At 35.6% G+C, this 25,176-nt stretch overlaps 1 protein-coding gene and 1 non-coding gene across 69 annotated transcripts in view; both read right to left on the bottom strand.

Moving 5' to 3' along the window:
* Window positions 1–25,176, bottom strand: part of PLEKHA1 (pleckstrin homology domain containing A1) — a 67,893-nt gene that overhangs the window by 24,275 nt on the left and 18,442 nt on the right. For 53 of the 68 annotated variants that reach the window (XM_024448108.2, XM_047425608.1, NM_001377244.1 and 50 more), the window contains 7 exons: window positions 24,985–25,145; window positions 20,352–20,408; window positions 17,938–17,983; window positions 11,653–11,750; window positions 5,281–5,406; window positions 2,324–2,467; window positions 358–426 (listed from right to left, as the gene is read on the bottom strand). In XM_024448108.2, coding sequence (XP_024303876.1) covers window positions 358–426; window positions 2,324–2,467; window positions 5,281–5,406; window positions 11,653–11,750; window positions 17,938–17,983; window positions 20,352–20,408; window positions 24,985–25,125 — 681 coding nt within the window. In that variant the 5' untranslated portion in view covers window positions 25,126–25,145. Of the gene's footprint in view, window positions 1–357; window positions 427–2,323; window positions 2,468–5,280; window positions 5,407–11,652; window positions 11,751–14,491; window positions 14,610–17,937; window positions 17,984–20,351; window positions 20,409–24,984; window positions 25,146–25,176 lie in introns of all 68 variants that reach the window. The other 15 variants (NM_001377254.1, NM_001377255.1, NM_001377257.1 and 12 more) reach the window with 9 other exon arrangements.
* Window positions 1,259–1,361, bottom strand: MIR3941 (microRNA 3941). Its single transcript, NR_037506.1, has one exon. It is a non-coding gene; the product is annotated as a microRNA 3941 (primary transcript).

The raw sequence follows: 25,176 nt of genomic DNA, 5'->3' as shown, positions 1-25,176 counted from the left end.
TTCTCCCATCTCTGCCACCACCCCTTCCCCATGTGGATGCCCTTCTCTCCCTACTCCACGTGGGGCTAACCCCCCAAGAGGACAGCCCCTTTAGAGGAAATTTATAGACTAGAGGATTCTGAGATCTTCAGATCTTTCAAGGTGGAATGCTGCTTTGAAGATAGGATCTTTTTACTTAAAAATGTATTTAAGAAAAATATCATTAACCAAAAGCATCACAACCAAATAAACTATATTTACCTCTAAAAACTAGACTTATTCTGAAACTACAGAACAGTACAAGAAATTATATATAATCACTACATTGCAACACTTTTCAAACATTCTTATAGCAACATTTATGACGTAACAACATACCAGTTCAGATTTGAAGTAGCCTATTGTGTTTTCATCCAATTGAAAATATCTTCTCTTCCAGTTTTTCATCTACCAGAGATGAACACAGACATAAGACTTGTGTTTCTAAGAATGTCAAATGTTAGTCACCACTTAATTACCCTGATATGAACCCACAATCAGACATGCCAAGCAGTGAAAAATCTCATTACTTCCCTTAGAGATGCGATAAATTAAACCTCATCCCTCTCTAGCTACCCAGGCTTTGAATTCCTAATTCAATTTCTGGTGCCTGGCTTTCATCTTTTATTGTATGATTTTATGTGTTTTTTTTTTTTTTTTTTGAGACAGAGTCTTGCTCTGTCACCCAGGCTGGAGTGCAATGGCGCGATCTCGGCTCACTGCCTCTGCCTTCTGGGTTCAAGCAATTCTCCTGCATCAGCCTCTCGAGTAGCTGGGATTACAGGCTCCCATCACTATGCCCAGCTAATTTTTGTATTTTTAGTAGAGACAGGGTTTCACCATGTTAGTCAGGCTGGTCTCAAACTCCTGACCTCAGGTGATCCGCCCACCTTGGCCTCCCAAAATGCTGGGATTACAGGCGTGAGCCACCATGCCTGGCCTATTTCATATTTTTAATGTTGAAACTTTTTTTTTTTTTAAAAGCACTTCCCCTTCCTCCTACTCCTCGCCCCCGCCAACCCCATGTAAAGAGCAAACACAGGAAATGTTATTAAACCACATCAAGTTTCTCCATCTGTAAAAACATATGAATTCTTCCACAAGTACTTTATACATAGTAGTAAAGCACTAAATATTTAATAAAGTAAACCTATTTTGTACAAATATTTTTTGTCAATAAAATAACAGTTTTTGCAGAAGCACTTAAATATCTCTGACTGGTATTTTGGACTTAAGAGTAAAACAAAAAGGAACCATCAGGCTATGATCCTCAGTTGTGTGTAAAATTAGGGCTTTCAATCTACACACAACTGAGCATCACAGCCTGATGAGAATTCTGACTCTACCTGCAGACATTGTACAGTAAGAAACCCCTGCCCTCACCATCATTTTCCTCAGCCTAAAGCAGGTCAAACAGGTGAAAGGACATTCCCCTGGCTGCCCTAAAAAAATTAAGAGTTGCCAAAAAGTGATGAGAAGTCAAACAGAACCACCAAAATAATTTTAAGTATTTCTTTACTCACAGACTTAAAAAACATTTTCAAACTTTAAAGTTAATTTTCTCATGAAATTCTAAAGATTTAGTTCACATAGAAAGAATGGCTTAGATACTAAGGTATGTTGCAACCTTAGAAATATTGGTAAATTTACTTGCTCTTGCAAAAAATTCATCATGGAACTGATTATATGGGAATACCTGGGCTAACCCATAACAGCTTTTACTAAGTACCAGGTGCTGTGCAAAGGGAAACACACCTTTCTTATTTACATCTCTTAAAAAACAAAAACAAAACAAAACAAAACCCTAGATGGTAGGTTTTATATGATATTCCTTAAGACAGAAACTGAGGGCCTGAGAGGTTAAGTAAGTAGCCCAAGGTCAGAGAGCTTACCACGGAGGTCAGGCCAATGCCTAAACAAGGAAGAGACCTCCTAGGCACCACTCCTTCTCCTGCCGCTGGCCTGCCATCTCCCCACAACAGCTCTCTTTCCCTGACCCACTCCTGAGTATGAGTAAAGATGAATAGAAACACTTTCTAAAACATTAAACTGTTAGGAAAGCTCATTTAAACTGAAAGTCAGTGGTAATGGGCATTAACTTTCCTGGCCCCCTGCAAACCAAGCAAATAACAGCATTGAATTATAAACAGAGAATATCCCCTATTTTATCTCCTGACTCTCCTCAGCATGCCGGTCTCTCACTTTGGGTCTTTCATAAAATAAAGCAAACAATTTCCATGTTAATTTGAGTTTGCTAGAACGTAATCCTTTTTCATTATTTCATGTATTTTGTTAAGCTACTCACCACTGCTCCTTGTTTTACACAATATCCAGCTTTGATAACCGCACTATCTTGAGGTGGTTTAGGAGTAAAGTAAGGAAGATGGCTTTGTGACCGTTTCAGATTATTTCTGTCAATACTTTCACCACATTCATTTACTTCTTCTTTCTAAAATGAAGCAAAATAAATAAATTATTTTCTTGCTTGTTTAGCATACTTTTATTTCATATTATCCCAGTAGAAAATCTTAAAATCCACCTTAGATTAGTCAGAAACAGATTTTTGAAGAGTTTTCTAATTAATCTGAGATACTTACTCTTAATTTTCCTGTCACTGATTAAAGCACAAATTTCCATTCCTCTTGTTTTGCACAAGTCCTGCCACCAGTGCTCTTTTTTGGGGAAGGAGTTAACTTTTTATTTTGAAATAATTATAAGGATTCACCAGAAGCTGCCCAAAAAAAGTACAACAGGTCCTATGTACCCTTTCACTAGTTTCCCCTCAAAGGGAAACGGCGTAACATTATCAAAAAACAAGAAATGGACATTGGCACAACCCACAAACTTTATTCGGATTCCACCAGTTTTACATACATTCATCTATGTGTGTCTATACAGTTCTATGCAGTTTTATCACATGTGTAGATCTGTGTAACTACTACCACATTTAAGACCCAGAATTGGTCATCACCCCAAGGCTCCTTTGTGAACTTTAGAGTTCCTACCCCTAAATCCCCTGGCAGCCACTAATCTGTTCTCCAAGACTATAATTTTGACATTTTGAAAATGTAATGTAAATGGAAGCATACAGAAGGTTATCTTTTGAGATTATCTTTTTTCACTCAGCATAATTCTCTAGAGATTCGTCCAGACTGTTCCTTGTATCTAGAGTTCATTCCTTTTTATTGCTATATTTCCATGGTATGGATGGATGACCAGTTGTTTAACTGTTCACCCATTAAAGGACATTTGAGTTGTTTCCCACTTTTAGCTATTAGGAAAAAAGCTGCTATCAACATTCATGCACAAGTTTTTATGTGAATGTAATTTTCCCTTTCTCTACGATAAACACCTAGTCCTGCAAATGCTGGGTTGTACAGTAATCACAAGCTTACTTTTATTATTAAAAAAAAAACAAAACATAAACACTAAACTGTTTTTCAGAGTGGCTAATTTTCATTCCCACCAGCAACACCTGAGAGATTATGTTTCTCCTCAACCTTGGCAGCATTTGTGTCGTCACTTTTATTTCAGCCATTCTGAGAGGTGTGCAGTGATCTTTTATTGTGCTCTTAATTTGTATTTTTTCCCTGCTAGCTAATGATGGTGAACATCTTTTCATGTGCTTACTTACCATCTGTTTATCTTTTATCTTTTGATGAAATATCTGTTCATGAATTTTCTAATTGGATTTCTTGGGCTTTTTACTGTTGGGTTCTGAGTTCTTTCTATGTTCTAGATAAAAGTCCTTTGTTGGACATGTGGTTTGCAAATATTTTCTCCCAGTTTGTAGCTTTTCTTTTCATCCTCTTAAGAAGGTCTTTCATAGAGCAAGTATTTTTTATTTTGATGAGGTCCAATTTACCAATTTTTGCCTTTTATGATAGACATATATTATTTTATAATTTTTAAAACTATACTACAAAATAAATGATGCAATAAAATTATACCCTCCATAAAATCCTAGAAACTACTGAAATATCTATACCAAAATTACAATGCAACAAAATCTTAACTCTAGACAAAATTAAAACAGCCACAGATACAAACTAATACAGTGTCTTAACACAACTACAGGAAAATAGTCTTACCCCTTATGTCAACATAGGTCATAATACCAGTGAAAGAAGCTTAATCTAGGTACATAGTAACCAGAAGGTTAACAGTTTAAAATCATTACTTTTGGAAAAAGTAAACACACAATCCTAGCTTATTTTTTTATCCAACTTTGGTGGAAAATGTATGCTCTATGACAGCAGGGAATTTCTGTTCATTAACATACCCTTTGCCAAGCATAAAGAAAGCACTCAATAGTTAATTAATTAATTAATGTTGTAAGATTTCTAATCCCACTAATCACCCTCCCGTAGCAAAAGACCTGAAAAATGTGGGGAATGATACAATTTGATTTAAAAGATTTATAAAGTGTCAAAGTCTTTTGAGTTCAAAAGGCACACTGGTAATGAAAATACCCAAGCTTGGCAATACCAATTGATTACTTTAAAATTCTTGGTTTCTCAACTACTAGTAACTTAATATCCATTACAAATTCATCCTTTTCAATAGCAAAACAAGAAATTCAAGCTCAGACAAGAGTTTTAATTTCATCAAAAATTGTATGTAAATTTATATTTTTCCTAAAACTCAAATAAAGACTTAATTTAGCATATTAGTACTTCTGAGATATAACTTAGTTAAAATTCCAGTCTTCTGTTTAGCTCACTTAGGCCAGGTTGTAGAAAAAATAGATTTTAAAAATTACTACTTGCAAACTCTTGACTCAGCAATTTTATTTCTAGGAATTTCTCCTTTAAGAATATTCATCATAGCATTGTTTATAAAGTAAAAGAAACAAAAAGGAAAAGGAACTCTATTTGTCCAATAGAGGATTTGTAATTTATGGTAAATCCATGGAAGAACTACTATGCACTCATTAAAAATGATATAAAAGGATTTCTGATGACTTGGAAAATGTTCATGATACAAGTGAAAAAATCTGTTTACAAAATGTAATATACAACTCATATCTCCATTTCTGAGGTGAAAAGTACATGAAGAAAGGCTCAGAGAAATCATGAGAAGTTTTAAATGTTATGTAATTTCCAAATTTTTTATAATAAATACTTTTGAAATAAACAAAAATATTTTATAGTAATTGTATATTATACCAATTAAGCAAAGATGCACTGTTTTAGTTTTAATAATATAAAAATCAATATACAATAATTAGACCCTCACACAATAGAAGAGTTACTTAATTACCTGAGTGGGAGTAATGATGGGTACGCCACCAACAATATCAGTTCTGTAAGACACTTGCTTTTTCCCACATTCACCATGGCGACTTAGGTTATCAGAATTAGGCTGTGAGTCTGACTGCTTTGGTACCTGAAATAGTAAATAAAATGAATCATTTTGCAACCAGCATTATACATGTGAACCTGTTTTCTCGCAGAATTTCTAATTATTCATCCGTTTGCATACGGTTGACAGATACATATAAAAATTATAGTCCATGTATGTACTCCTTAAGTTATCACACTAATTTTTCTGTTAGAATAATATTTTATAATATAGCTATCACGTAATGAGTGCTTACTCGGGCAGGTACTAGTTCACACATTTTTCTCCTTTACTACTCCTGTCTACCCTATGCATAGGGGCTCTACCCCCACCTAAGAGGTAAGGAAATAGGCTCAGGGGCATTAGGGAATATAGATTCAGATCCTGACTATAATACATTCTAGCCAAGTGTGTGTAACTCTTCCAAGCCCAACTGCTGTGCTCTAGACCCTGTTTATTGGCACACTTACTATTGGCTTACAGCTCTTTGCTGTTTTCTTCCCTTTCTCCATTCCTACCCATGATTCTGGGATTGTGGCATATTCAGTCTTTCCTGGCTTCAAGACAGAGACTATTACCAAAACCATAGTGTATTCAATAAATGTTGAAAGACTCAATGGATGAATCCAAAGTCAGCAGAAAAAAGAATAGCAAAATTCTTAAAACAAATCAGAAGTTTCAAAACAAAACTTTTCATTAGAAATTTAAAGAAGGAATTCCAATACTTGGATCAATGATAAATCGTTCACAAGTACAGGAAAACAATGACTGTGGTAACAGCAGAATCTCACATTAACACCTCACTAAAGTGGATGAAAGAATCAGAGGTATCATAAATTTTTAACATATATTTTTGCTTTTCTTATGTGATCTATTCAGTAAATAAGGTACTCAGTTAATCATTATTTCTATCTGTAGACTGTTTAGCACATAGTCTGTATTTAAATTATACATTTTTAAGGCTGTGAATAAAATGTAATAAAATCTGCTCAGCATCAATTATAATGTTGAACATGATTTAGTCTTCTCCAATGATTTAAAGGGCACGTGGAACCTTGCAGTCTTTCAGAAACACTATGACAAATACTACTGACAATCACTGAAGTAGTGGTGTAGAAACATTTAACTTAAATAGTTTGCTTGTCATATAGCTAATTCCTGTTAATAGAGTACTGGTAGAACTACAGGACACCACTCACATTGTATTCAAAGGCTCAAACCGTTTATTAGTGTGATTCCAAAGCAGTGTGATTTCTCAAACTTTAGAGTGCATAAAGTATCACCCAGGAACATTATTTAAAACTTCAGATTCCCCTGCTTCGAACCCAGAAATTCTGACTCAACATATCTATAGTGCAGCCCAAAAACCTGCACTTTAAGCAAGAACACCAGACATTTTTGAGGCAGGAGTTTCATAAACCACACTTTGAGAAACACTGCTCTAAAACCTGTGCTCTTCTTCCATACGATGCTACTCCCACCAGATTTGTAGAAAAGAGGGTATACAATGCAGATAAGGATTTGCAAAGCAGCTTTCTGCAAAATATTGAGCAAACATGGTCCATGTGTATATGAAAGGATGCTGAGCTACAGTAAGTCCCAATCCACACAAATGTAATTTATGGATATAATAAATGACTTGTCTCTTAAGTGACTTCTAAAACTCCCTCTCCCTTCCTTCTCCACCTGCCTCCCTTGAAGAGGTTTCTCTCAGGCCCCAGGCCCAATCCTCCAGCCTCTGGTTCGTATTCATACTACAATGCCCTCATCCGCAGAAACAAAAGAGAGAGAAAACAGGAAAGAGAAGAGAATCCTGAATACCTCTTGAATTCTTCTAAGAACTTGCACACTTTGGAGTGCTTTTTAAAGACAATAAAATAATGAAGAGAATTTTCCTTGTCAAATAAAATTAGGATAGTATACCCTGGAATGATTTGCTAGGGAAGCCCATTATATTTTCTAATGAATAGCACCATATATTTCAATTATTCTGACAGAGAAAATATGGCCCAGTTATCTCATTGAGAAGAACAGCAACTAGCATTAAGAGAACCTGAAACCAGAGAGAAAACAATCTATTCAACTAGATAAAATGAGAGGTGCTGCTAAGAGGTGACCCATAAGAAAACTAGCAGTTATTCTCTCAAGAAGTTTAGTCAGACCTGGGAATTATTAGGAAAAACCTTTAAAATCATTCTAAAAAATACCGAAATTTATATTGGTTTTTCCATTTTTCTTAAATTACAGTATATTAAAAGTCCTTGCTTATGCTGTTAAGCTCACTGCTTCTAATTTGTCTTTATAATAAAATCAAATGCTAGTAGTTAACTTAGAACTGCATTTTACTATAAAAATTATCTAACTTGTAATCATCTTATTCCCTAAGAACAAGAAAAGTTCAAGCAAAATACCCATGAACATGGATAACTCCTCTAAAAACAATATGTACCTCTGTAAAACTTGGTCTAAATTCAGCCATTAAGATAGACATTTTCAGGACACACCCCTGCCCCAAACCATCCAACTGTCCAATGAAAATCAGAAAAGTGATCTCACTGGGCAGTTGGCACATGTCAGACACTGAATCCACTTGGTTTCTTTGTCTACTGCCTCTCTCCCTTTCCTTGGCTTTCTATCCTTTTTTATGTCCCAGCATTTTTTGTAGGAGATCTGAATGTAATCTTGGCAGGCATTTGCATGTGATCCTAGTAGTAGGAAATTCTAATAGTAGGAAAAGAAAAGGTAAAAATAACTAGAGAATAAAAAGATGAACAAGACAGATTTAAGTATTTATGAGTGAAATACATAAAAACGCTGCAGGTTTCTCAAAAGTTAAAGGGAAAGTTGATATTCAATTCACCAAGAATGAAAATATAATGTTGGGCTAGGCGCGGTGGCTCACGCCTGTAATCCCAGCACTTTGGGAGGCCAAGCTGGGCGGATCACTTGAGGCCAGGAGTTTTAAAACCAACCTGGACAACATGGCGAAACCCAGTCTCTACTAAAAGTACAAAAATTAGCTGGCTGTGGTGGCACACACCTGTAATCCCAGCTACTTAGGAGGCTGAGGGCTCAAGAATCACTTGAACCCCGGTGGCGGAGGCTGCAGTGAGCTGGGATAGCACCACTGTACTCCAGCCTGGGCAACACAGCGAGACTCTGTCTCAAAAAAAAAAAAAAGGATAAAAAGAAAGAATGAAATTGTCATAATGTTCAATTCACTGAGGATAAAAACGTGCAGACACAAACTCCTGGGTCTTACAATCTTTCTGAGAATTCTACATCTACTTGTTTCCAGTTTCTATTAAAAATATATCAAACTTGTGGAGTTTCTGCCACAAATTCAAAGTACTAATTTTTAGATTCAAATCGAACATTTATTTTTAAATTTTAAAAAAGACATGTTTAAAAATAATGGATCTCTGTTCAGGAATAAACCATATATATCTTAGACATTCCTTAATAATCAATAAGGGAACAGAAACCACCATATTTATGTTGTTTCCACTATATTTCCACTATATATATTTCCACTATAAATGAACAGTGGAAAGCATACTTTAAAATTTGATTTTCCTCACTCCAGTCATTGATACTCCCCCTTCGGGGCTGATTCTCCCACTGTTGCTCTTTTCCTTTTTGTGCGTATGTTTAATACAGATGGTCCAGGACTTACAATGGTTCAATTTTTCAACTTTACAAGTGGGTTTGTTGGGGTATTAAATGGATTTTCAACTTGTGTTTTTGACTTACAATAGGTTTATAAGGATGTAACCCCATCATAAGTTGAAAAGCAACTGTAAAGGGAAAAGAATTTCAAGTGGCACCCACCTAGACTCAAGTAAGGAAAGTCACAGACTATAGCGTTAGAGGATAATGGATTAAAATGGCAAGATATTATAACTAGGAAATAGTTTAAAAATCATCATTCCCTTACCCATTGCCCTCTAACCACCTCTATTTTGAAACCACACACTTCCAAACTCTAATTTTGGATTTCCAAAATTTTAAAATTTATATATCACACAGTACTTAGCAGACCACTAAATTAGAGTTGACCAAAATGAGAGTGATCCCATAGAAAGATTTATGTATTAAGTACATACATCAAAATGTACATTTTAAGTTTTCAAATAATCTACATGTAAATCATCAGCAATGTTCACAGGAAAATATAACAAATTGGAGATTCCACACTTTAATACACTTAAATGTATAAAATGCACATGAAACTGGTAAGATATTTTTAAGGAATAAAATTAACATAAAGCATCTTATTAAAGCATAGGAAATTATTTCATTGCTATCCTATGAGTTAAATGTGTGTCTATCAAAAGTTTATTTTTAATAAGTACTATCAAATCTATACTCACTTTAATGCAGTTATAACCACTTTATTAAGTAATAAGGATTTCTATAACTTCTATGTATTTATATTTTCCAAATGTGAATTATAAAAACATTAAAATCATTTACCAACAAATTTATCTTAAAAACTATAAAAATTTCAACAGGTAAAATAAAATTGCAAGACCACAAAAGCTACTTAGAAGTCTTTTTAGAATTCTATTTAGAATCTCTAACCTGTTTTTCCTTCATGCTGAAAAGCTTACCAGTGTCATTTGTATAAGACTGTTTCATACCATTGATAAATCAGACATAGCAATTCAAGACCCCCCAAAATGGTAAAAAGCCTGAGACCATTCACTACTTTTTCTCTTAAAGCACTAAGAAACCAGTGCTGCTTGTTATTGCAAATGGTAAAACATGAATTTAGTACAGTTACGAGATATTATCTTTCTAAAGAAATTTTTCAAGCAGGGAATATTTATTAGAAGAGTTAAAATGATTAGCTAAAAGCTTTTAAGAATATGTATGTCTGAATCAGGTTAAAAAATTGCTTTCCTGACACTGCACAAACCTAAAATAACTTCTGCTTCATGTACAGATCAGATGCGGTGCGTAGGCGTTTTCTGTCATGTGGTAACAAGCTGTTCTAGAGCAAAACAAAAAGATTCGACTAAACTCTGAGAACAGCTTTAACTATATTGACTCTTTATTGTGTTGTGATATAAATAGGAAATTATTCATTTTAGATGGAAACTAATGAGTGACTAACATATGCTGACTTTCAGGGCACATGTTCTTTGAGAATAAGTCACTTAGGGTCAGTATATAACTGCACTTTCTTTAAAAAAAACAAAAACAAAAACGCAATTGACACAAATCTCACAACACAAGAACTCCTTCCCAACATTTTCCAGGCAGGCCTGCTATGTATTTCTCTACAAAAGTGTAAAGGGAAAGGTGAGGCAAGGTATAATCAAAATAGAGCCTATCTACGTGCTGCTCATCATCACTAGCAAACTCTCTCAGTAAAGGTTGTTGTTGGCTTTAGGAACAAAAGAGTAAGGAGAGGGCTGTTCTTGTTCAGGAAGCAGTAAGGCACTGCACTTCAGAGTTCGGGCTCCAGAGGCCAAAAAACTGGACTGGGCTTCCAGCTCCATAATCTACCAGCTATAACACTGGTAGATTAATCTTTCTAAGCCTCACTTTTCCAGTTCATTTAAGTAAAACCTTCGGTCTAAGATCTGGCACAGTGTTAATAATCAATAAATATTCATCAGGAAACCAAAAAAGAAAAGAAGCACACATTAGAAGCAAGAAATTGTAGCATGGGAAAGGAGGGCAAGGGTACCAAGCCCTGGAATGCAAGGAAAAAAATCAGACATGGGAAGAAGTTTAGAGCCTGAGACAAACTTCTCAAGGGTCACATGGACAGGACCCTCTGGCTGCCGCAACCCTTCAGACACTATTCCTATCCCTAACCCTCATTTTTCAGCCTTCATCTCCCCTTGTCCTGCTCCTGTTTTCAACTCTTTCCCTATCTGACCCCAATCCCAGTCATGGCTTAGAAGAGAGAAGTGCCTATTCCCCAGGTAGGTGACAGGAAATCTCTTACACTATATTGGAAGAAAAATATATATCCTCCCGGTAGAACTCTACGTGCTAAGCGCATTTTCTCCTAGAAACGTTGCAAGAAGTGATTAAGATCTGCAGTAATATATCTCCTTATTAGGTGCATAAGTTAAAAAGACAATCATGGGCTGATTAAAGTGCCAACAGTCACCAAGTACAAGAAAACATATTCACATTCTGAACACCTGTCTTTTAAACAAAGCTTGAGTATGAAACCTGTTGGTAAGCTGGGAACATTTGGTAGGTGTATTTTCAAAATGAAAAGATTAATTCCAGACATCGAACGTTTTTCAAAAAAATACATATACTTACTGTAATTTTTATAGCTTTGTTTAACACATTTACCCATTCCACTAGGTCCTGCTGATCATTGGCTTGTAGGAAGTACTTCCTCATTCCTGCATTCATAACTGTTGACAGAAAAAAATAACACACCAAATATTGTACTTATTACCTCTAAATTTATGTTTGCAGTAGCTGAAAAACCTTGCTAAGTTCAACACCGTGACTCTCGTGGATTTGACAAAATATATCAGACCACATGTAATACAGCTTTTATCACACAATAACACAGGTAAAACTCTTATTTTGTTATGGCCATTTTGTTTATTAAATGGATACACCACAATACATTTAGTCAATCCCCTAATGATAGACACTTAGGCTATTTCCGGTTTTTGAAATTATATAAAATATCACAATGAAACATCATATACATATATTTCTCCACACTTGGCTAGCATTTCTGGGTGATAAATTTCTTGACATAGATTTGTTGGGTCAAAGACAATTGACATTTAAACTTTTTATAGGTATTTCCAAATCATCTTCCCACAAAGTTGAATCCATTCACATTCCTACCAACCACATACACATTTTATTTCATCGAATACCCCTCACCAGAACTGGTTGTTAGCACCTGTGGATACCTCTAGTTTCTAGTTTTCAAAGGCTCTGTGGCACTGGGGCTGGTAGTCTGCAAACAATATTTCCTAGACCCCATCTGAGGCCATTCTCTGCCACTGGGAGGTACTGATGAGAGACTGTAAGGTGGGAGAGGGGAGAAGGAAAGAGGAGACTCTCCTTGACTCCTGCTGTTGTTGACCTCTCTCCAACAGCAGCACACAACTAGCTACTGTTAGGAGCCTTTTCCTGCCCCCTATGCCAGCCTTGCAGAGTCCCCTTGGATACTAATAGCTCCATGGTGGCTTCTACTCCACTGCCCTAGGTTATAGTAATACTACTACCCCTTCTCTTTTGTCTCTCTAGCCCTTGAGTAGTAGTTGCTTCATGCGTCTAATTCCTGGGTTACTTCAGCATTCCCTTCATGTTCTTTCAGCCTTCCAATATTTGGGTAACCAATTCCCCATAACAAATCCCTTAGGTTTGAAATATCTAGTGTGCTGTTTTCCTGGCTAATACTCTTTAACAACCTAATTGGTAAATAATTGTACCTTGTTCAAATTTTAATTTCTTTGGTTATTGAGATAAATTAGTTTTGTAAGTTTATTGGCCATCTGCATTTATTTTGTAAGTTTTGTTTACTTTCTTTACCCACGTTTCTCCTGAATTCATTATTAATTTATAGCAACTTCTTTATTAATCTTTTCTGCTTTATTACCAATACTTTACCCAGTCTGTTTTACTTTAACAGTATTTTTGATCAGACAGAAATATACTATGAATCTTTTCTATAAATGCATCCAGATTTCATATCATCTAGAAAATCTCCCTAACTTAAGATCTATTTTTCTAGACCTTATGAATTTCCTTTATATTTTGAATCTTAATACATTTGGAACTTTTATGCAATTTAGTTTCTATATTCCCCTTTAGGGACTAGGTACTTTTATCAAGCAAAGCACATGTGCACATACAGTTGTCTATAAACTATCATAGTCCACTCTTGAATTAAAGCTATTTATTATACACCATCTGCATTTATTTTTAAAAGCATAAATATTATTCTAGGAGCTAAGTATCTGAATAGTTATACTGTTGCAATTGTTCAAATATAAAAATAACTTCCAAACGTCTCCACCAAAATTTTAAAAGATATACTAGCACACAGTTCAATGTGACTGAGAAGGGGAAATGCAAACTCTCAAGGAAAACACACAAGATTTTGAAATTGGGACTGAGACCAAAACACTCTAAACTACAGCTTCCTTGAATTGAGATGAAGGTCTCAGAAAGGAAGTCAAAGCCTATCTTGTAAAGTGCTACAAAACAACCAGTCTATAACCTTAAAAGAAATTTAACACACTGGAAATCTGTTCTTGTACATCTTTCTAGAGACTGGAAAAGTTATAACTGCCATAAATATGTATTAAGATAAATCCATAATTCACTAGGATGCTATATCTATCAATAAATAACTTGTTTTTAATTTCTAGCCATCGGTAAGGCTTCCTTTTATAATCTTTTTTCAGCTTAGGCTGAAGCAGAGCTCTCCTCATTCATAATGGCTTCTTCCCCTCAATGTTATTTTGGGCATCTGCCCAGAATATCTGAAGAATTTAAAAATCTATGCACTTACTAATATACTACACTTGGTACACAGTAAATGCTTAATACATATACTTTTGAATAAATATATAAGGATCTTTTCTAAGGGAAGGAAGAGATGCAAATATATATCTAAAAAAGACCCCTAGTATACCTTGCAATCTGAATAAAATCTCATGTACTTTAAGAATTACTTCATGGCAAGACGTAGATATATAGGTATGATCTAGAAAAAAAAAATCAGTCTGGAATCAATCCAACCTGACTAGCTTATGCACTTACAAGCAATATCATCTTTTAAACATTATTTAATTTCTCTGAGCCCGATACTCCTCATCTGTGAAATGGGAATGTCACTCATTCCACCTCCTTAAGAGGTGACGATCATATATGTAAAGAAACTAACACAGTGCTTGGTATAGAATATTCTTCACTGCCATCATCTGGAGATTTCTAAGGAGTAAGGAAGCACTATAAAAAATGTAAAGCAGGGCACAGTGGCTCACGCCTGTAATCCCAGCATTTTGGGAGGCCAAGGCAGGCCAGTCACTTGAGGTCAGGGGTTCGAGACAAGCCTGGCCAACATGGTGAAACCCTGTCTCTACTCAAAATACAAAAATTAGCCAGGCGTGGTGGTGGGCACCTGTAATCCCAGCTACTTGGGCGGCTAAGGCAGGAGAATCGCTTGAACCCAGGAGGTGGAGGTTGCAGTGAGCCAAGATTACACCATTGCATTCCGGCCTGGGGGAGTGAGGCTCCATCTCAAAAGAAAAAAAAAGGGGAAAGCAAGTTACTGAAATGTGGTGTATTAGCAATATTGGTGGTGAGGGGAGAAAGGGAAAGAAATAAAATCTTTGAACAATAAAAAAAAAAAAACTCTGACACTGCTAAGTTGCCATAAAAACCCTAAAGCAAGGGTTTCATTGTGAATAATACATGCATCCCTAGAAGCTTGTATCCTTCCTATCTTTTCCACTTGAGTATTTAACTTCAAATCTTTATGATTAGAATGAATACATAAAATGGATAAAACTTGAAGCATAAACATTAGCTTAACTGCAAACAAAAATCATCTCACAACCTGAGATCAACTGGTTATGAATATACGGTTTTGGATCAAGAGGTTCTAAGGTATTTTATCATATTCTTTGTCAATTTTCCCCACTCTGTTTTCTCTATTCTGTACTTTCCTCTGTCCTCTCAGTCTCTATCAGATGTTGGACTTCCTTGATGGTTTTTATCTCTTTTCCATTATCTATCTTTACCTTTGTTGTACTTTCAGATTTCTTTGACTTTTTCAAAGAAATGCAAAATGAGTTTTGCATTGTCTCATGTTCCTTCTCCTGTTTGATAATCCGCTCTCATCAAATGTTCAGTAATCCTGGGCTGTCTATTCATATTTTAAAAGAAAGTGCTAAAAAGACTGATGAAAAGCTCTCTTGCATTGTCGTAGGGCTGTTGATTGTGGACCTTACTAGTCAACTATGGCAAGCTCTTCTAGTAGAAATGCCCAGATGTCAGTCAGTATCTATGGATCTTTTCTCTAGGGTAGTCAGATCTTACTCACCTAAACCTGGCTGCCCAGTGCTCTGGGGCTGGGGTTGCACTGATTGTGCAGACTTTCATTTAAGATATCTTCCTATTTTCAGTTTCGTGCCTCATTCCTTTCGTTCTCTGGGACTAGTGCCCCTAAATATACAGCCTCACTGATTCTATTTCTGGAGACACCACACATCCCATTACCTGCTGGGACAGAAGAAGGGTGTCTGCCCGATTGGAGGTAGGGAACAGAGGTTGTTTCTGATACAGATATGCAAACAAAGTCCCTGTTTTTGGTCCTTCCTCACTGTTGCTTCCCCAGAAAATGTATCTCCTATACCTAAGCCTATCTAGAGTTGGGGTGGGGGCAGAACACTTAAATGGTTAGCTTTTCATTGGCCTCTTCCTCCACTCTGCTAAATTATCTACCATTCCTCTATCTACTTTCCAACTTTATACACTGAGGGTTACAGATACTCTGCTCCCTCCATCAAAAATGGCTTGCACGTTTCTTGTTCTCACTGGTTTGGGACAATCTGAGAGAAGATATGTTGCCACTTTGAATGAAAGTTGTGGTTCTATTTTAGAAGTCAGTGCTTCTCTCTCTGAAGGTAAGCATTTCATGAATCTTTACTCCCACTAACAGTAGAGGACTAATAAACTATTGCCTGACCAATGAACGACTAATCTTAGTTTTTGATTCCAACTAAAATCACCCATTCTAAATACTCCAATAACTATGAATGTCAAGTCTATTACTGTATGTTACTATTCCTGTAAGTTTGAGATTTTAGAAAAAAAAGGGTTGTCAAAAGTATGTGCATTATACATTCTAAAATACAAAGTTCTCAGTTATTTGACTTGCAATACCCATTCAATTACAAGGCTCTGAGGCATTTTCCTGTTTCGTAACCAAAATTATAATTAGTAATAAACATGTAACTTTTAAAAATAGCTTCATAGTGAGATAAAAGCATTTTAGAGGATTCCCTTGACAGCCACGTTTCATCTTGCTCATATCAAGATGCTATTCCTAACTACTGCCTAAAGAAATCTGCCCTTTTCAAGCAAAAGAGAGCAAAGAACTTCAATTCTACTCCCAAAAGTATCTCTCACTTTAATGTGAAAGTCTCTTTTGATGTTAGTTGACCACTCCAAATATTCGTTCCTTCAGTCACTCATGTCCACTAACATACTCTCTGAGAGGGTATCAATTCTCCTAGCTTCGACTACCACCCACTTTTCAACAGACTCCGAATTTCTCCATTCTTGACCCTAAAGCTCCATCCAGTCCTCGATTACTGTCAACAGAACATTTCCATTTGGAAGTTCCCCACCATTTCAACTCCATAGCAAACATTTTACCCTATGTAACCAGCTCTCCCTGATTTCTCATTTCTTTACTTGAAGCAAACTTCCCTGCTACCTCTCTCTTCCCTCCAATTCCCCCATATCCACCAAGCCCCTGCACTTTTCCTTCTTTTCACCCTTCCTCCTTCTCCTATTGCCACCACCCTAACTCAGGACCTTACATAAGTACAGTAGTTCAAAAGACACTTACCCAGTCTACCTATATCAAAACTTTCCTATGCATACAAAAAAACAAACAAACAAACAAAACCCTCCTTCACCTTATGTCTGCTTTCCAGATGCTCTCTTTTTCTTCTCCTTTGTTCAAAGTAATAAAACCTATTGCTCGTCAAAACACAGCACCCTGGCTTCTGCCTGCCTTTTTACTCTCTAGCCATTTATCATACCCTCTAGCTTCAGAGTGTTCAGCTCCAGAGACACCACGCTCTTCTCCCCACAAGCCTCTGCATGTAGTCCTCCTGCCTTTTCTCTGCAGTGGTAAAGGATATAAGCAGGAGGCTAGCTGGCCACCAACGTAAGCATCTCCTCCTCCAGTGAGGCTCCCCGACTCCTGAGCTCCCCAATAAAGATTTGAAGGTCATTCTTTGTGCTTTAATAGACTGCATATCCCTTTATCTACAGGTTGTGACAACTGCAATATTAATTGCCTGGTATTTTTTATTTATGAGCCAACCAGCCTTAAGGGCAGCAACTGTTTCTTATTCATCTTACAGCTCCAGTGCCAAGCACAGTGCCTGGCATATACTAAACATTTGCTGGGTAAGTTAATCCAATACCCTCAACTACTCCTACCCCAAACTGAGCATTTCTCACTACCCAAAAGCTAAAGACCAAATCCTTTTAATTATTTATATGTTTAATATAGAATAACATGACGTAGAAAGTTTAAAATTCCCTGAAATCTCACTGGAGGTGATCATTATAAATGCCAAAATAACAGTTACATATGGGTAGAAGGAGATGTTTGTAACTAGGACCGCACACAGGAAAGAGGCTTCAGGGTTAGGGGAGAGGGGGTGCAAAATGTTATTTCCTTATCTGTATAGCAGTTACAAGGGAATTCACTTTAGAATAATTCATTAAGCCCTAGGTTTTGTGTGGTTTTCTGCAACAGTTTTCTTTTACAATATGATACAATTATATCAGTCTATTTAAAATATATATAACATGGCTACTTACCAAAACAGAACTCCGCCTTTGGCCTTAGCTTAGTAGCATCGCTAACCTAAAAAGAAAAATAGAGACGGGTTCCTCACTTCTCCATATAATCCTAAAACCAACCTTATATACTATGTAAACTTCCACATGTATGATTCCCCAATAATCATACACATTTAGTAAACAGACTTAAAATTAAAGACAACTAAAAGAGGATGGCAAATTTAAATACATAGGATGCAGTTCCCAACTGTAAGAGGTAACAAATAATACTTCCATATTTTCTTTGAACAACTTGTTTTCTCTTCAAAGAAATGTCAGAGAGAAGCTGAAAGTAAACCATTAGGCTTTATGTCATACACACAAGTATTTTTAGTTTAAAATAATTTTCAAAATATCCTCAATGAATATTCTACAAGAACTATGCATTCTTCCCAAATAACATATTTCTAAATTAGCTATGATTTTTAAGCAAAAATGGGGCTGGGTAAAGAGGAGACTGTGTATTTAAAGTCCACAAATCTAGGCTGGGCACAGTGGCTCACGCCTGTAATCCCAGCACTTTGAGAGGCCAAGGCGGGCGGATCACGAGGTCAGGAGATCAAGACCATCCTGGCCAACACGGTGAAACCCCGTCTCTACTAAAAATACAAAAAAAAATTAGCTGGGCATGGTGGCGGGCGCCTGTAGTCCCAGCTACTCAGGAGGCTGAGGCAGGAGAATGGCGTGAACCCAGGGGACGGAGCTTGCAGTGAGCCGAGATCGCGCCACTGCACTCCAGCCTGGGAGACAGTGAGACTTCATCTCAAAAAATAAAAATAAAAATAAAAATAAAGTCCACAAATCCAGGCATTTAATTGAATTAATCTTAATCTTAATAATTAAGATTAAGACATTAATCTGCTATGAGGAGATCAAAATGGGACTGGATCCTCTCTTGTACAGGAGAATGCCCTAGGATAATGGGATCACTTTATTAAATGCAGCTCATGGTTCATTTTAGAAGATGAGGCAACTAGCTGCATTTGGTTGCTGCTATCCCTTTAAATCAAGTACCTCCCAGAAGCTCATTCACAACTATTGCCATGCTGTTGTCCAGTGATAGAACTTATAATTGTAGCATCCGTTTTGCACCTTCAAAAGGAATTCTAAGCCTGGGGTTCCTCATTGATCCCAACTACAAACTCACAGTTCTGAGTCACACAAAAGTTTGTTCCAGAAATAAATTTTTGGAACAATAAATTTTTTTTTGGAAAAAAAGTGGTACGTCCAAAGTAGAGTACAAACTGCACAATTTAAACTTCAGGAAGCAGGAGGACAAGATGAAAGTTACAGAACTGCACAGAAAAAAGGTTCTATTTTAAAAGAAGAGCAATGGAGGAGAGGAAAGCAGCTGGCCAGTTACCCCACCTACTTTACTGATTTCAAGAAAGAGCTTCCATACAATATTTGTCGTATGTAAATTTACATAGTATGATCTTAACAGAAAAATGTTTCCTTTTAAATGTGTAATCTTTATTGTCCAAGGGCTCTTTTCTTTTCTTTTTGGTCAATGAGAATGAATACCTCTACTGTAATACTAATATAAAGTATTTTATTTATATAACATCTATCTTCTAAACAGAGGCACATTTGTAAATTGGTCTTCTGTTGAAGTGATCTACCTTTGCCAACAGATCTCAGTATATGCATAACAGTACCCATATTATTTAATAATACTGTTGCTACCTTTTGCATCTCATATATAAGTAATCAACAAACTTTTATTACTTTTATGTAACACACATGCACACACACACACACACACACACACACAAACCCATAGGGTTAGCACCTCAGCATCACTTAGTTCCCTAAACATTAATAGAAGAAAATAAGAAAAAAATGTACCTGACAAACATAAAATCAAAATTTTAAAAAATAAAAAATAGTATTGCAAAATTACCAGAAAAACAAATAAGAAAACAGAAATGAAAAGAGACAAAGTGAAAAGAGGGGGAAAATCATCCTTTCAACATGAAAATGGTCCATATTTTCCTCAAAATAAAACATTAAGAAACAAAGTATCAAAGACAATGGGATTTAAAAGTTGAAAACAGTCTAAATAAACATAATACAGACTTAGAAAAATCTCCAGACTTTCTCAAGATAGAATTTGTTTCACTGATTTCTCCCTTTCTGATGTTCATATACCTGATCATAAAAGTTAATGTTAACTTTTGCAATTTGCCACATCCTGTAAGTTAAAATCATATTCTTCATAACTGTATCGATTTAAAGAATTTCCTAAACGTAGTAATCAGGTACCATTTCAGTATGATAGGAATCTGAACATCACTGTTAAAGGACATGGAAAGGAAACTGCTGCTTCTATTCATACTCTCATTCACAGGGATTTTAATTCACACGAGTATAAGACAATGTATAAAGACTACCTTTGAAATGTAGGTAAGCTTAATGGCTCCAACACGTGATGATCCAGAAGGTAGGTTCTAGAAACAAAGTATTAATATATACTTAATATCCAATATTATGAATTCATTTTATAATATAATGTTCCACATATACTTCTGAAAAGTTAAAAACTCAATTTTTTAATATCACATTTTACAAATGAACTTTTCTTCTGTTCAAATTTTTACTAGGTCTGAAATCAAGTCCATAGCTTGGATAACAAAACTGAATCCTACTCTGTTCCATTATCATGCATTCTATGACTAAAAGGCTATTTTTATCACTGGAGCTAAACTAATACTTTCTCATGAGCTTAAAAAGCCATGAACAAGATCAGATTTTGTTCCTGAAAGCAAGGGGGAAATATTTACAGGCAGAAAACAAATATAATTGTAAGATACTTAAAAAGACTATACATATTACTTTGTTCTATTAAAATTTCTTTATCAAGTATCTCTTGACAAAAATGGACTGCATTTCCCCCCATTTAAATGGTTTACTGTTTTTTATGCCATATTAATCTACATTGATACTTTTTTTTCCACAAAAAAATGTTTGCTTCTCTTTATCATATGCAGGGAATGTAGGCACTTTCACACACAGTATTTTCATTCTTCCCGTAAGTTTCAGATGTGGTTTGCATCAAAAGAGCTAAAGGTAAACATAGAGGGAGAATCATCTCTGGTTGAAGCTATCCAGAAAGACTGAAGTGATGAACAACATTTAGGCTGGAGGTTAAGGAAAATTTTGAAACACAAAAAGCAGGGGAGAATATTCCAAGCAGAGAAAATGGACAAACTATAGCAAACAATGGAAGATGCACAGCTCTGTACTAGAAAGAGAGAGGGGGGCTATGTGGGGCTGTAATGCAGTGTCCTGTAAGATTGTAGTACAAAATGGTGGTCTGAAAACTTGAACTGAGAACCTAATCATAGAGGACCTAAATAAAAAAGTAGCAAAGAATTTATATCGTAGAGAATTTGAGGCCAACGAAGAAGGCTTATGAGCAGATCTGGAATCAAAATTATGCTCTTTTTATAATATATCTTATAATAAACTGAAGGGATTATAGAAGAGGAAGATAGAGGTAGGAAAACCAGACAAAAGAATCTGGGGAAAACAAATCAAGAATATAAATTTCATTTCTATGATAGAAGACTGATAAAAGACTGATAGAAGATTTCAGAAGTAAAAATGAAAACATTAGTTTTAGTTGATTTTGAAAATTATTTCTGCTGGAGATAAGACAGGATCAACTTTTCAACTGACTTTATAATAACGTACTTAAAAATATAAAAATCTATTGGCTTGTTCTAATGAATGATTAGGAGGTAACTGGAAGCCTAGACATTTCAAAGACTTAAGAGTCCCAAACATGAACTGCTTATTGTTGACAGGGACAGATCTTTTAAAAACTTTCACACCTATATATTGTAAAACTCCATTAATTATGTTCTGCTTTAAACTATATACTACGTACAAGCTTCCAAATATAAATCATCAATAGTAAATATGCATATAAAATAAAATTATAATTCATTAATGTATAACATTAAAAAGCTATTTGTATTCTTATGTATAACGTTTTAGATTTATGGGTTTTTGGTTTTTAACTTTAAAGAAGGAAAAGAAATGTAAATATGTCTTCAAGAATCTCTAACTACCACCAAAGTGATTTTTTCAAAAACTGTTACCCTTCCATTTAAGGGTAATAATTTATTTCTTTTCAGTTTTTCATGAGCCTATTATTTTAACTGCTGAATAGAGCTCTAAGCCTTTGTGGAAGGAAGACAAATGAGAAACCAAAGCATGACATAAAGTGTCACAGTAATAGTAGTACACTATGGGGAAATTTAAGTAGCTGAGAGAAAAACAATATTCAAAATACGCAGTTTCTGTGGACTAGTATGATTACCATCAGGTTCGACTGGAAAAAAATGAGATTCAAAATTTGTTACTTGACAATGAACAAGAAATAACAAACTAATAGAACATTTAAGAAAAAAAGGGAAATAGGCCATTTGTTGATTATGAGTTCCTAAACTCATTTTGCCAAATACTTTTTCGAATATCTTCAAATGCACTCCCTCGTACAGCAACTTAATTATTTCATTCTCCATGATTACCAACCTCCTGGACAAAACACAGGAAGCCCCAAAGTGATCCCTAATAAACACTAGAAAGAATTTTTAAACCCATGGTTAGTGGTAAAGGAAGCAGTGGTCAGGGGAAGAAGTGGCTTCCTAATAATAGAGGAATCAAACTAATTTTCTTTCTTTACCAAGGTTATTATGATCAGTATAACCATGTTATTATACTTTGACATAAGCAACTAGATTGAACCATATGACATTGCCATTTTTTTAGTAATTCAAAATGGCTGTATATTAGCAATTTCATATGGTTCAATCTAATTGCTTATGTCAAGATGCAATAACACGGTTATACTGAACATAATAACCTTGATAAAGAAAGAAAATAATATAATAATCTTAGCAAGACATTTTACTAAAGTTTTCAAGAGTAGGTATGTCTTGATTATTACATTTAAAAGTGACACCAAGTTGGTACTAATGGCTAATACACTGGCTGGCAGAATCAAGATTTCCTAAGTTGGAAAGAAGATATAAAATTAATAAGAACAAACTAAAAAATATTTAAATTCTGTACTTAAAAAAAAAACTGGCACTGTGTCCAGAAAAGCCAATGCATTAATTCTAACATAGAGATCTGGATTTTAAAAGTTTATGTGGACAAGACCTAGCTGAGTGCTATAGCCAAAGTGATCTAGTCTCCAAACACGCCATAGGCTCTCTTGCTTTGATCTCTGCCCACACTGTTCTTTGAGCACTGGAATACTCAACTTTTCCATCTCTTAGCCAATATTATATCCAAACTTCTAAGTCAATTTCAAATGTTACCACTTCCATGAAGACTTCAACTCCTTCTACTAGCTGTGTAACTTTCCTCTGAATTCCAAGTTCAAGTTTTATTCAGGGTAATAAATATATTCTATTTTGTACTTAACTCCTTTTAGCTCTGCTAAATGGGTAGTACTGATAAAGGAAGAATGACAAGAAGAATCTATTATGTAGGAACACAGAAAAATAATCAAGGAGCTTCAAGTAAAATTCAGGAGAAACCATACATATGTCAACCAGACCTTGTGAAGAGAGAGAAAAATCAGGGAGAGAAAATAGGCAGAACTGTGCAATGGCTCATATGGGTGAGGAGAGGTCCCTTACAACTCAAATTCTACATAAATAAACATACACACATTAGTATCTACTATAGACACATATATATCTTGTCTAATCTAAAATCAGTATATAGTGAAGAATACTAGACTACTTATCAGCAGACCTAGTTCCTGCTCTGTGAAACAGAACAGAACCTTGTATAAGTCTCTGCTCTTCCCTAGACCTTCCATTCCTCACCCACACGAGAAGCCTACTGGACAAAAATCAGCTTAGAAGTCTGCTAGAGATTCATCCCTTGCTTTGCACATACTTCCTTGCAACATACAACCCCATTTTTAACTTCTACACCAATTTTTATTTGAAGATAAAAAGTTCCAAAAGGCCGGGCGCGGTGGCTCATGCCTGTAATCTCAGCACTTTGGGAGGCTGAGGCTGGAGGATCACCTGACATCAGGAGTTCAACACCAGCCTGGCCAAGACGGAAAAACCCTGTCTCTACTAAAAATACAAAAAATTAGCCAGGTGTGGTGGCACACCCCTGTAGTCCCAGCTACTCGGGAGGCTGAGGCATGAGAATCACTTGAACCCAGGAGGCAGAGGCTGCAGTGAGTCAAAATCATACCGCTGCATTCCAGCCTGGGTGATAAGAGACTCCATCTCAAAAAAAAAAAAAAAAAAAAAAAAAAGTAGAGAAAGTTGAAAGTTTAAAACTACTTCACAGATGATATCTAATCTCAGGCCTCTTAAGGCTGGGATTCCAATTTTTTAAATTGTAGCATTTACCCCTGTGTTTTGCAAGGCAACAATAAAATCAAACTGCATTTCAGTTCATGGATGGCATTACAATGACTGACTCAAATCTGACACTACAAAATAAAAGGACTACATATGTGCAAGAGTATCATGTGGTTAAGTCATTTATTTATTTAAAAATAATAGTCTCTATCCTAGATGCAGCATCTTAAACCTAAATTTAATCTCACTAAAGGGACCCTGGTATTAAGCCTCCTTAATGCAAGAAAATCATCTATCCCTGGTCTTTATTTTAGCTGTTGTTTGAAATACATGTTACAAAAAAAGTATTTCTTATTTTTGGGACAGCTTCAATTGTTATTTTTTTCTGTGACTCAAGTTCTAATTTTCTAAAACCTAATTTGCCACCAGAGAGAGTATTTCTCTCTCGAGGGAAAAATATATACAGAAGCATTAATTTTTATCAAATAAACTTAGTTTCACCTTCTGAAATTCAAACAAAACAGTAGAGGTCAGGGGTGCAGGGCAGAGAGGACAGCCAGTAGAAATAAATCTAAAAATATACTGCTTAAGAAGACAAATCTAAAGCCTGTATAGTATGTTAAATACTTAAATACAACTTTCTGTGCTTTTAAAAGATAATCCTTGGGATTTTACAAACCTGTGGATTATCCATGTACCACACGAAACTATCTTCTCTGGTATCCAGTATGAAGTACCTTCGAAGAAATTTCCCACTGTTTTCATTTTCTTCAATGTCTAGAAAACCACAAATGCGATTCTGACGATCCACATAAGGCATTTCTGAGCTTGAACATTACACTGTAAAATAAAAATATTAACAGTAAGCTCC

The sequence above is a fragment of the Homo sapiens genome, chromosome 10 (genome assembly GCF_000001405.40).
Source record: "Homo sapiens chromosome 10, GRCh38.p14 Primary Assembly".
Taxonomy (NCBI): domain Eukaryota; kingdom Metazoa; phylum Chordata; class Mammalia; order Primates; family Hominidae; genus Homo; species Homo sapiens.
Note: the sequence above shows the minus strand (reverse complement) of the source record. Positions and strands in the feature narration are given on the sequence as shown.